Genomic DNA, 13893 nt, shown 5'->3' with positions numbered 1-13893 from the left:
TTTCACGGGCTGAAAGTGCTTTTTTGTATTTGATCTAAGTCTGTGTAAACTGTTTCCTCCCATTCTCCTAAGAGGTGAGGGCAGTACTCCTCATGATCCTCAACTTGTAAAAAGGCCTCCCTGCATGAATGGGACTACCACAGGAGCTGGGCAGACGTGAGGGAGTCCCCCATATGTCTGCTTGAATGAGGAGAAGAGGAAATGTGTTTCTGGTGTCCAGAGTTAACATTTATAATGTATTTTGCTAAATAATATATGGTATATCTGGTGATTTAGGGGTAGTTCATCAGTTGTTATCAAATTGTTGGGCACCTACTATGTGCCAGTTACTGTGATAAGTTTTGAGGAGACATCATGGGCAAAATGTGGCATGGTCCCTGCCCTTAGTGAGCGTATGTTATGGTCTAATATAGTGTAGTTGAACCAATATTGTGCAGGACCTCACTTTTTTTTTTTCAGTCGGGCCTATACTGCTTGAGTGAACCATCCTTCAGGAACTTTCAGTTTCTTCTTTTACGCCTATGCTTACAACCTGAGTTGTAAACATTGTTTCCATGAACCAGTGTATTCTGAGTTCGAAACAGCCTACTTACAAATGGAATTTTGGCTGGGCGCGGTGGCTCACGCCTGTAATCCCAGCACTTTGGGAGGCAGAGGCAGGTGGATCACGAGGTCAGAAGTTCGAGACCAGCCTGGCCAATGTCGAGGTCAGAAGTTCGAGACCAGCCTGGCCAATGTGGTGAAACCCCATCTCTACTAAAAATACAAAAATTAGCCGAGTGTGGTGACACGCGCCTGTAGTCCTGGCTACTCGCGCCTGTAGTCCCGGCTACTCGGGAGGCTGAGGCAGGAGAATGGCGTGAACCCGGGAGGCGGTGCTTGCAGTGAGCGGAGATCGCGCCACTGCACTCCAGCCTGGGCGACAGATGTCGCAAGACTCCGTCTCAAAAACAAAAAAGAACAAATGGAATTTTAGAATATGACACATTTGCAGCTGGGCACCATCCTTAAACAAGTAATCTGGCTACTGTTAAATGTTTTGAAGTTAATCCCAAAAAAGAAAGTTGTGAACATTAAATTTCTAACCTGTTTATATCCACCTAATCTCTCTAATTGTATATTTGCATTATGATTTTTATGAAGTTGTAAGCAGTGTATAATACAGTTCTGGGGCCTGCTTTTCTCAGTTACTAATGCTTTCTATAAGTATTTCTGATATCTGTAGTACATATGTCATTTATTTATAGTTTTATGATATTTCATCATGTCAGTAGCCTACAGTTTGCTTAATAATAGAGTAGCAGCAGGCTATATACCCATGAGCAGGTCTGTGTATCTGTAAACTTTTTTATTTTTGAGCACCAAAATGTTTTCTTTATGCTAATTCTCAATCCATAATTTTGAATAACTCCATTTGTACATTTTGACTTTTCTACCCAATTTCATGAGATAATTCCAGCTGTATAAATTTTTTTTTTTTTTTTTTTTTTTTTGAGATGGAGCCTTCGTCTGTCACCCAGGCTGGAAGGCTGGAGTGCAGTGGCACGATCTCGGCTCACTACAACTTCCACCTCCTGTGTTCAAGGGATCTTCGTGCCTCAGCCTCCCAAGTAGCCACCATGCCTGGCTGATTTTTGTATTTTTAGTAGAGACAGGGTTTCACCATATTGGCCAGGCTGGTCTCGAACTCCTGACCTCAAGAGATCCGCCCACCTGGGCCTCTCAAAGTGTTGGGATTACAGGCATGAGCCACTGTGCCCGACCTTACATATTCTTTAATTTTGTTCTTTTCCTTCACAGTTGAAGCACCATTGGCCAGTTTATGTACAATGAATACTACTGAGGCTGACAGTTTATTACTTTTGTTATGTGTAATGATTTCCAATTTGTCTAATTTGGTTTATGACTTTACTAGTCCTTTCATTTTTATATTTGGCATTCATTTTACTAAAACAAGAGCACCAACCAACAAAATAATTAAACACATGCAGTAATACTGCAAAAAGGTTGTGACAGTGCCAAAAAACAATGGTTGTTTGTCAAATAGCACCAACATATGACAACTAGAAATGTTCTTCAGTAAATTAAGTGTTAGGAGATGTGGGAGTTTATTAAGTTGCATAAAAGTCGAATGTGTGAAAGTTAAGGGCTACCTGAATTTAGCAGGGCTTTTTTTTTTCCAGTAGATATATTTAGATGGTCCTTGATTTATGGTCACTTAATGGGTGATTCTAAGAGTGGTCCTTACAATGAACTAAGCTGCTCACTTCCCTCTCACTGAGTTCTCTACAGATTATTCCTCACCTCAACTTAAATGGTGTTTGCCTCTGCTAATTTCTGAGAAGTTAGTTAAAGTTATGGTGAAAAATATTATTTTCTCTCCATGACATGTAAGAACGTATTTATTTTCTGCAGCATTTCTTCGTTTATAGCTGTCTGTTTGCATTCTGATTGGGAACACTGGGATCATTTTCATCATGCCGACAGTGGTGGTAATGGATGTATCCCTTTCCATGACCCGACCTGTGTCTATTGAGGGGTCCGAGGAATACCAGCGTAAGCACCTAGCAGCCCATGGTTTAACGATGCTGTTTGAGCACATGGCCACAAATTACAAGCTTGAATTTACAGCACTTGTGGTTTTTTCATCACTTTGGGAGTTGATGGTCCCCTTCACGAGAGATTATAATACCCTACAGGTACAAAATGTAGTAAGTTATTGTATGTACAGGGCCTAAATTTATTGGGAGGAAAACAGTGTTATAATGCGTTGAATATTTAGAACTTTGGCATTATTTAATAAGTCTATGAGTACTTAATATGTGTAACTAAACAGCAAGAATTCACAACCAGTAGGTCTTATGCCTACTGTTTCTTCGGTACAGCTATGAGTTACAGCTGTGAGTTGTTCCCTTATTTTCCTCTCTTGGTTTTCTGGAATTCTCTGTGGAAAAGTGAGCATCTCAGGATGTAGTGTTCCATTCCCTAAAATTTAGGATCTTTAGGCTCAACACTTAATTTTTTTCTACTCTCCCATAAAACTTGAGGAAATGAAAAAATAGCCCTTTCTTATTCTAGAGTAATTCAAAATGATATTTCCTTTCCAACAAATAGCTTTGATTTTGATACCAATAAATTATAATTTTTAAATCTCAGTTGGTAGATATTATCTTTCAAAGGTGTTTTCTGTGTTATGTTAGAATTTACTTTCTGACAACATCTCTAAATCATAATATTCATAATATTTCCAGCAGTGCCTAACACAGTGTCTTACCCATAGTGAGCAGTCAAGAAGTGTTTGTGGGCCAGGTGTGGTGGCTCACGCCTGTAATCCCAGCACTTTGGGAAGCCAAGGCGAGAGGATCACTTGAGCCCAGGAGTTTGAGACCAGCCTGGACAACATGGCAAGATCCCGTCTCTATTTTTAATAAAAAGAAGGAAAAAAAAAAAGAAGAAGCATTTGTGGAATTAAACTGAACAGTTTTAACAATTGTTAGGTGGTTTAGAAATACAAGATCAATAGAGTTTGAATTTTTTAATGTAAGTAACAAAATTTTGTTAAATAATTCCTTTTATTATCTCAGATTTTTTTTTTTTTTTTTTTTGAGACGGAGTCTCGCTGTCGCCCAGGCTGGAGTGCAGTGGCGCGATCTCGGCTCACTGCAGGCTCCGCCCCCCGGGTTCACGCCATTCTCCTGCCTCAGCCTTCCGAATAGCTGGGAGTACAGGCGCCCGCCACCTCGCCCGGCTAATTTTTTGTATTTTTAGTAGAGACGGGGTTTCACCGTGTTAGCCAGGATGGTCTCGATCTCCTGACCTCATGATCCGCCCGCCTCGGCGTCCCAAAGTGCTGGGATTACAGGCGTGAGCCACCGCGCCCGGCCTTATCTCAGATTTTTTAAGTGACTTAAAAGCTTTTTTTAAAAAAATTAGTGACTTAAAAAATTTTTTTTAAATTTCTTTTCCTGTAAAAGGATATTAAACTTTTGGTATATATGCTGACTTTCTTACAGGTGAATAAACTAAGGATTTCTGATGTTCTGCAGTTCTGAAATTTAGAGAATTGCTATATAAGGAGTGAGACGTAATGTTTTAGACCAGGAGCCCTGAAGTCAGACTGCATACTTACAAATCCAGGTTCTGCCACCTTAGTCATGAGACCTGGGAAAGTTATTTAATCTTTCTATACCTTAATTACTTCATTTAAAGATAGGGTTAATAATCTATACCTTATAGTTTTATTGTGATAGCTAAATGCATAAAAGTGCCTAGGATGGTGTTTAGAACATAGTTAATATTCAATAGATTTTGTTATTATTTTTGTGATGTGTTTAAAAGTTCCTTTTAATTTTTTCCTTCAAAGTCCACTTAACAAAAATGTAAACTTGGTGGACTGTTCACTCTTACCTGATAAGAGGATAGAATAAATGGAATTCTTTTAACTATCTTTAATAGTTGAAGAAGTCTGTTCTAGCATTTTTCTTTAAGAAGCTATGCTTTGGTGCTCTCAGATACATCAGTGTCCCCTGTGTAACATTCATACTTTGAACAATTTATGTTGTTTTCTAATACCTAATTAAAACTAAAGAGTAACTAGCAATTTTATCTTTTATTCAATAAGGAAGCACTAAGTAATATGGATGATTATGACAAAACCTGCTTGGAGTCTGCATTAGTTGGTGTTTGCAATATCGTTCAGCAAGAATGGGGTGGTGCAATTCCTTGCCAGGTAATGATCAATTCTTTTTCATTGCCCTAAGTTAACAACATTAACCACTGAGGTGCTTCGATTTTCTTCAGGCTCTGACACAGCATGCATTGTAATTTCTACAAACTACATTTTACACTATTGGTATCTTCTTAAGTGAAGGTACTAAATCAACACTAATGTGTTCAGAAAGCAGCAAAGTTATGCCTTAAGGAAAGCATCCTCCTAGTAAATTGACTTATTGCAAACTAGTACTGTTATATAAAACACAAAGGGCTCACAGTGGAATTTTTGAACTACAATCCCTGGAAGGGGTCATTATAATTTTGAGTGATAAAATTGTAAACATCAGTATAATATAGCCTGTCTTCATTATCTCAATGCAATTATTCAGCAGACTTTTTTTTTTTTTTTTTTTTGGAGACAGGGTCTCACTTTGTTGCCCAGGCTGGAGTGCAGTGGAGCTATTATGGCTCACTGTAGCTTCAACCACCGAGGCTCAGGTGATTCTCCCACTTCGTCCTCCTGAGTAGCTGAGACTACAGGCAAATGCCACCATACCTGGCTAATTTTTTACATTTTTTGTAGAGACCAGGTTTTGCCATATTGCCCAGGTTGGTCTCAAACTCCTGGCTCAGGCGATCCGCCCACCTCGTCTCCCAAAGTGTTGGGATTACAGGGGTGAGCCACTGTGCCCAGCTTTATTCAGCAAACTTAACCATCTCAACTGAGTTGTCTAAAAAGTGAGGAGTATAAAACATAAAATCTAGCCAGGCGCGGTGGCTCATGCCTATAATCCCAGCAGTTTGGGAGGCTGAGGTGGACGGATCACCAGGTCAAGAGATCGAGACCATCCTGGCCAACATGGTGAAACCCCCATCTCTACTAAAAATACAAAAATTAGCTGGGTGTGGTGGTGTGCACCTGTAGTCCCAGCTACTCTGGAGGCTGAGGCGGGAGAATCACTTGAACGTGGGAGGCAGAGGTTGCAGTCAGCCGAGATTGCGCCACTGCACTCCAGCCTAGCGACAGAGCGAGACTGTGTGGCAAAAACAAACAAACATAAAGTCTGTTGCTCTTTACTTAGACTCCACAGTAGGCCACATTAGTATCAAATCAGAGCAGAGTAGTAGCAGAAAAAGATAACTGGAAATTTGTTCTATACAGATACTTTTGAAAAGTAGTAGCATATTTTGAAGGAAAAAGCAGAAACATTGCTAAAAGAAAAATCATAATAGTCTACAACAGGAGTCCGCAAGTTTTTTTGTATTTTAGGCTTTGTAGGTGTCTGTGGCAACTACTCAGCTCTGCTGTTATAGCATGAAAGCAGCCATAGATAATAAGTAAATGAATGGGTAGGGCTGTGTTTAAATAAAACTTTATTTACAAAAACAGACAGTGGGCCAAATTTAGCCTGTGGGCCATGGTTGGCTGGACCCTGGTGTGTGACTTTTCATTATGGGGTCAAACAAAGGATTCCTCAGTAATGTCAGTAGCATCACTAGTATTTATTTATTAATAAAAAAAAAAAAAGATTGTAGCTAGGCATGGTGGCTCACACCTATAATCCTAGCACTTTGTGAGGCCAAGGTGGGAGGATAACTTGAGCCCAGGAGTTCAAGACCAGCCTGGACCACATAGTGAGGCCCTGTCTTAAAAAAAATAAGATTGTAGTTGCCTGGGAGTCAGGGAAAGGTATGAATTGACTCAAAAGAAGCAGGAGGGAATCTGGGACGTGTTGGGACTATTCTTTATCTTGTTTGTGGGGGTGGTTACACGACTGAATACAACTGTCAAAACTCATAGAACTGTATACTAAAAAGGGTGATTTTACTGCATGTAAGTTATATCTCAATAAACTCACCTTTAGAAAACAACAAAAACATTTTTTCTTGTGAAAACCTCCCTGTTTTATAGAATATAGTGGATACTTGCTGAAGAAATCAATAGATGCCTTTTGATCAATTTCTTTTCTGAAATAAAAAAGCTTTTTATGGCATCTCAGCTTATAGGCATTACTTATTTTGGTAAATCCATGCATATAGGATGTCTTATTTCCTAACATTATAGTGAATAAATGAAGTTTTGTTGTCAGTATCTTCTGAACTGAAAGCTAGCAAGTAGCACAGTTTCATTTGCTATTTCTTCTTTGGTTTTAGAGGAGAAATTCAGATTTTAAGAACCAGACCTTGTGCATCATGCAGACTTCTGACTTTTATGATTTTCTTCTTTTGAAAAAAAGGAAGAATCTGAATTTGAGACAACGTGAGGGCAAGGGGCCAAGCCTGAATCTGTCTCTACTAAAAATAAAAAAATTAGCCAGACGTGGTGGCGCATACCTGTAATCCCAGCCACTCAGGAGGCTGCGGCAGGAGAATCGCTTGAACCGGGGAGGCAGAGGTTGCACTGGTCAGCCAAGATTGTGCCATCGCACTCCACCCTGGGCAACAAGAGAGAAACTCCGTCTCAAAAAAAAAAAAAACATTGTAGTAGAGGTGGTGTTTACTGGTTATTGTTTTTATAATCAGTTACTATAAAACAAACTTGCTTAAATGTGGAATTTTTGGCCAGGCGCGACGGCTCACGCCTGTAATCCCAACACTTTGGGAGGCTGAGGTGGGCAGATCACCTGAGGTCAGGAGTTAAACACAAGCCTGGCCAACATGGTGAAACCCTGTCTCTACTAAAAATACAAAAATTAGCTAAGTGTGGTGTCGTTCATCTGTAATCCTAGCTACCTGGGAGGCTGAGGTAGGGGAATCACTTGACCTGGGAGGTGGATTTTGTAGTGAGCCGAGAACGTGCCACTGCACTCCAGTCTGGGCAACAGAGCGAGACTCTGTCTTAAAAAAAAAAAAAAAAAGTGGAATTTTTAGCCAAGATTTTGTTTTTTATTTATTATTATTTTTTTGAAACAGAGTCTTGCTCTGTCGCCCAGGCTTGAGTGCAGTGGCATGATCTCAGCTCACTGCAGCCTCTGCCTCCGGGCTCAAATGATTCTCATGACTCAGCCACCTGATGAGTAGCTGGGACTGCAGGAGTGTGCCATCACGCCCTACAGAAGTGCACTACCACACCCAGCTAATTTTTGTATTTTTAGTAGACAAGGTTTTGCCATGTTTGCCAGGCTGGTCTTGAACTCCTTGCCTCAAGTGATCCTCTGGCCTCAACCTCCCAAAGTGCTGGGATTACAGCTGTCAGCCACCACACCCAGCCTTAACCAAGGTTTTAGACAGCTGTACTGTGTCTTTATTATTTAGTAAAGTCTGTTTCATTTTGACATTACGTGAAATATTTCATTATCCCATAGCATCTGAAAAAGCCGATGGAGGTAAATCATTGTATAGCAATTCTTGGTACCTAGAAAAGGAAATTGCCTTGTAGTCAATTGACTGTCATGCCAAAAGATGACATCCTTCCAGGGGACCTCTATTAAGCATTCTTGGGCTTTATCAGTAAGTGCCAATCTTGATATTTCACACAGTGCCACCACTTAATACTGCCTTAAGGGCCGGGCGCGGTGGCTCACGCCTGTAATCCCAGCACTTTGGGAGGCCGAGGCTGACGGTTCACAAGGTCAGGAGTTCGAGACCATCCTGGCCAATATGGTGAAACCCCGTCTCTACTAAAAATACAAAAATTAGGTGGGCTTTATGGCACACACCTGTAGTTCCAGCTGCTCGGGAGGCTGAGGCAGGAGAATCACTTTAACCTGGGAGGCGGAGGTTGCAGTGAGCTGAGATCACGCCACCGCACTCCAGCCTGGGTGACAGAGTGAGTCTCCTTGTCAAAAAAAAAATACTGCCTTAATGGCCTATTGTTATCAAGTTACTGGACTAGGCTAGGGAGAGCAAAAATAATCCTCTCCTGGGATGCATGGGAAGTCTGTCCACCACAGGATCATTCTGAAGCAATGAAGAAAAGGAAAATGATTTTGCAATTACTATCCATTGTTGGTATATTTTGTTGGTTTTTTCAAATTACAGGTTAAGAATGCGTTTTAAAGATCTTATATATTTCTGGTTAAATAGCCTTTATAAATACATATTCTAACTAGGTGTCATTTTAGTTGACCAGGCGTAGAGTTTGTCATCTTTGAAAATAAAGTGGCAAAGTTCAGACTACTGTGCTGGTACTTCCTAGGAGCACATGTGAAATGAATCTTCATTCCATATTTGACATTGTTATGTTAGGTACCAACTCCTTATCTAAGAGTTGGGGTTCTAGTTTTAATACAATTAAGTAAGAATTGGTTGTGAATGTTTTTGTCCTTTTTTAAGTGTTCAGAGGCAAGCTTTTAAAAAATATTTTATTAGATGAAATAGAGTAAAACACATTGATCTTAAGTATACAGTTCACTGAGTTTTGACAAATGTATACACCTATATAACCACTACTACAATTAAGATATAGTATTCTTTATCCTATAATGTGGAGTGGGGTTCTAGCACCTCACAAAATTTTCTCGTGCCTTTTTTTGTTGTTTTTTTTTTTTGCGGGGCCAGGTTGAGGGTTTATTTTGTTTTTCCAAACAGGGTCTCACTTTGTTACCCAGGCTGGACTGCAGTGGCATACTCACTGTAGCCTCGACTTCCCAGGCTCAAGTGATCCTCCCACCTCAGCCTCCCAAGTAGCTGGGCCTGCAGGCACGCACCACCATGCCCAGTTAATTCTTGTATTTTTTGTAGAGGCAGGGTTTCACCATGTTGCCTAGGCTGGTCTTGAACCCCTGGCCTCTAGTGATCTGCCTGCCTTGGCCTCCCAAAGTGCTGGGATTACAGGTGTGAGCCACCATGTCAGGCCTGTTTTTTTTGTTTTGTTTTGTTTTGTTTTGTTTTAAAAAGACAGAGTCTCTCTGTTGCCTAGGCTGGAGTACAGTGATGTGACCATGGCTCACTGCAGCCTTGACCTCCCAGGCTCAAGTGATCCTCCCACCTCAGCCTCCCAACGTGCTGGGACCACAGGTGCATGCCACCACTCCTGGCTAATTTTTTTTTTCTAAGTTTTTTTAGAGATGGGGTCTCCTTATGTTGCCCAGGCTGGTCTCAAACTCCTAGGCTTAAGCAGTCCTGCCTTGGCCTCCCAAAGCACTGGGATTACAGGCTTGAGCCACCATAGCCAGCCCTGGTGCCCCTTTCTAGCAGTGAAAACACTGCTAAATGGGACTGCGTTAAATATGTAATTTAATGTACAACCTCCTCTCTCTCTTTTTACAAACAGGTTGTCCTGGTGACAGACGGCTGTCTTGGCATTGGTAGAGGGTCACTGCGACATTCCCTAGCCACTCAAAATCAACGAAGTGAGAGCAACAGGTTTCCACTACCTTTTCCTTTCCCATCTAAGTTATATATCATGTGCATGGCGAATTTGGAGGAGGTAATACCTTTTGCTAAGTTTTTAGTTTGATTAGGCATATTTTACAGCTTAGTTTATTTTTCAGTATATACCACTAGTGCTATATTGTATATACTGTAGCATTGAACTCCATTGGTTTCAGCTGAGGCTGGTATTTTATTTGAAAAGATTCTGGGTCTCAAATGTTCTTTGAAATTTCAGAGTGTTGCCTCATCTGGGGAACATAGCTGGAGTTGTTATCCATCCTGCTGATGGGTGCATAAAGGGTCAAGGTGTTCTTTTTGGTGTTGTTCATTTCCCTTATATAGAATTCTTATGTCCATTCCACCAGAAATGTTGACAAGAGTGTGCTTTGACTTTGACAGAAGAGTAAAGTAACATTATTCTGATACACGTTTTATTAAACACTTAAATTCTTGGTTTTCCCATTCATTTGGGAAGGTGATTTAACCTTTTTTCCCCTCAGTTTTTCTCTCTGTAAAATGTAGATAATGATGGTTCTCACCAAAAGACGTTAGAAACACTTTGGAGGGAAGATGCTGTGTAAATACTGTGGTCACCTCTGAGAATCTTTGCAAAACTACTCCTGAATGAAATAGCTCTACCTGTGTTATTTTACGTAACATTCCTCTTTGGTAACCTTGAGTCAAAATTGTTGTTGTTATTTTCTTCTCACATTGGCTATTAAAAAAATCATCTGTTATTTATTGCCTATGTTATCGTAATGGCTTTGACCTTGGTGAGCTGAGAATAATCTGGCATTTTGTGCCAGCCACTTTAAGGGTCATCTGTTTTGCTTTATAGCTCCAGAGCACCGATTCCTTGGAATGCCTTGAACGTCTCATAGATTTAAACAATGGTGAAGGGCAGATTTTTACTATTGATGGCCCCCTGTGCTTGAAGAATGTACAGTCTATGTTTGGGTGAGTATATGCTTAGAGCTCTTTTGCCTTCTTTACAATCCAGTATTATAATTTGACATCCAGGAAGACTATCTGTTTTACTGTTCCTAATTGTGTCATTTCATTTTCCCCAAGTTGTACATTTTTCAGATAAAGTGATGGGTAGTAATGGTTTTTTAAAGTAAATCTATACTGTCTGTAGATACTGACTTCCTTATAATGACTCAGCAAAATTTCAAATTAACTTGCTCTTGGGCTTTTCAGAATTGAAATTTCCTCACCAAAAATGTCAGATTTTGTTCTGTTTTACAGATGGTCAGATCTTAGTTTTGGAACCAACTTGAAAGGAAAACAACCCTTGCGTCCTGAAAAATTAACTTCATATGTATCGTATTACTCTTCCTATAACTATTAATTATCATATTCTAGAAAACTGATAGATTTGGCATATACGCCTTTCCATGCTGTTCTCAAGTGTGGCCACCTAACTGCTGATGTACAAGTCTTCCCCAGGCCAGAACCTTTTGTTGTAGATGAAGAAATTGATCCTATCCCTAAAGTCATTAACACAGGTAACTTTTTAAAAAAACTTATTTCTTAGTTTCTCTGTTATCCTTACTTTCTTCTGACTTGTGACTTTTACTCTCTTCTCTGTCTAGGAAGGTTGAAAAGAAATATATATTGTGGTACAGGTTGAGTATTCCTTACCCAAAATGCTTGGGAACAGAGGTGCTTTAGATTTCAGATTTTTTGGGGTTTGGGATATTTGCATTTTACTTAGTGATTGAGCATCCTTAATCTGAAAATCCAAAGTGCTCCAGTGAGCATTTCCTTTGAGCTTCGTGTCAGCTTCGTGCATGTGTAATAGTTGTGGATTGTTGAGCATTTCGGATTTCAGATTTTCAGATAGGGGATACTCAACCTGTACTAGGGTGCTGTTGTCATCAGCACTTTGGATTGGAAGATTCATTACCTAAGGGGTGGCAGAATATTGGTCTTTTATGGTAAGGTCATCAGTTGATCTCCAATCCTAGATAATTATAACCACGAATTATTAGAGTTGGAAATCATAGCCGTATTCACTAGCATTGAAATCTTTGAGATGATTCTTAATAGACATACTGAACTTAATTAGTATCATAATTAAGGTCATATAAGAAGGGCTAGCTTCTATACTTTGCAGTATGACTCTTGATATGTGACCCTGGGAAGTCTTCCTCTAGTTCTTATTGGCTAGGCAGGGAGAATCAACCAGATGGTCTTGGAGTTCTTGGATCTGATATAGTGTACTCTTCTAGCACTGCTGCTTATATTATGACTGAAAGAAAGTGATGTACCACAGCTTTTACCTGGTTCGTGTTGCCAATACTATGCTTAACTGAGACTGGCAAAGTGAAGAGTCAAAAATAGCAAGGAGCAGTGGAGAGGAGACTTGCTTCCTATTGGTGGGTGGACTCCTTGAATCTTAGGTGCATGTTAAATCTTTTAGGGCTGGATATTATCAGTGTTTCAGTCACCATTACAGCCTTGATGTCCAGCATAGTGCCTGACACTTAGTAGGTGCCCAATAGGTAATTGTTCAGTCAATAAATGATTAGAATTAAATGTTCAGTGAATGCTCATTGTTTGTGGTATACAGATTTTTAAGGAGTGTTGGAGTGAGGGGCTGTGAACAGTCTTTTTACTTTTTGTGCCTTTAGCTTCTGGAAGCAAGGCATCCATCTCTTCTACTGTGACTAGACAGTAGTACATTAAGTTGTACCAAAAGTCTTGTTGCCTTCATAACAGTTAGATTCCACTTCCTTCCCATCCTTTTTCGATGAGTAAATTTGAATAGGTCTTTTCTTTCCCATATAAACTCTTAGTGGAAGATCTTTCTTGCAGCTAAACTGCTTTAAAATAAAGTAGACCTTTTTCTACTCAAATGAAAAATATCTAGCTGCTTATACTAATGCATTTATTACTCAGCTAAGGGAGGTATGGACAGCAAATCTCCAGAGAAGCACACTTCCTAATATTTTAGAAATAGGGTCGGGCACGGTGGCTCACACCTGTAGTCCCAGCAGTTTGGGAGGCCAAGGCGGGCGGATCACCTGAGGTCGGGAGACCAGCCTGACCAACATGGAGAAACCCCGTTTCTACTAAAAATACAAAATTAGCCAGGCGTGGTGGCACATGTCTATAATCCCAGCTGCTTGGGAGGCTGAGGCAGGAGAATCACTTGAACTCAGGAGGAGGAGGTTGCAGTTAGCTGAGATTGCGCCATTGCACTCCAGCCTGGGCAACAAGAGCGAAACTCCATCTCAAAAAAAGAAAAAAGAAATATAAGGTGTTCACCATGATTCTGATTTTTAAAAATTCTTTTGAAAATATGGGTATTAATCTAGAAGAAAGACTGAAAAGCACATCAATAAAATATTAATAGAGATTTCCTTTGATTATGAATAATGAGTGACTTTTTCTTCTTTATAATTTTTATTGTTTTTAAGTTTTTATATTATATAATCGAAATGTTTAAGTTCTTTTGGTTACAACATTCATTTTTATTTATTTTAGGTTTTCAACAAATACTTTTGGTCTTTACTACAGCGTCTATAAAGCAGAGAAGTCATTGTCATATTTAGACTGCTTACCCTAGTTTTGTAGAGAATACAGTTCTTTCTCAGAGAGATGTTTTTAATACAATAGCTTTATTCTTCAAAGGCTGAGTGTAGTTGCTGCGGAAGTGTTTGACTATGATGCCCCCTGGTGACCTGAACATCCCTGACTACACAGAGGGATTAGACCTTTCAGTTTTTGCCTTGGCTGGGGTCCTAACCTTATAAAAATAAAATTTAGCTGATTTTGTCATATAACTTAGACTCATTAAATCAATGACAGTTATCATTATTTCCTGAGCAGCTTAAAATGCAAATTATTAGACGACTC

At 39.8% G+C, this 13893-nt stretch overlaps 1 protein-coding gene across 10 annotated transcripts in view; it reads left to right on the top strand.

Moving 5' to 3' along the window:
• INTS14 (integrator complex subunit 14) overlaps window positions 1–13893 on the top strand; it is a 32375-nt gene that overhangs the window by 1274 nt on the left and 17208 nt on the right. For 3 of the 10 annotated variants that reach the window (NM_001136043.4, NM_001366365.3, NM_001366364.3), the window contains exons 2-6: window positions 2416–2556; window positions 4622–4729; window positions 9929–10084; window positions 10868–10986; window positions 11395–11537. In NM_001136043.4, coding sequence (NP_001129515.1) covers window positions 4637–4729; window positions 9929–10084; window positions 10868–10986; window positions 11395–11537 — 511 coding nt within the window. In that variant the 5' untranslated portion in view covers window positions 2416–2556; window positions 4622–4636. Of the gene's footprint in view, window positions 1–2415; window positions 2700–4621; window positions 4730–9928; window positions 10085–10867; window positions 10987–11394; window positions 11538–13893 lie in introns of all 10 variants that reach the window. The other 7 variants (NM_001366360.3, NM_001394795.1, NM_001394796.1 and 4 more) reach the window with 5 other exon arrangements.

This window comes from Homo sapiens, chromosome 15, assembly GCF_000001405.40.
Source record: "Homo sapiens chromosome 15, GRCh38.p14 Primary Assembly".
Classification (NCBI taxonomy): domain Eukaryota; kingdom Metazoa; phylum Chordata; class Mammalia; order Primates; family Hominidae; genus Homo; species Homo sapiens.
This window is presented reverse-complemented; position numbering and strand designations above follow the sequence as displayed.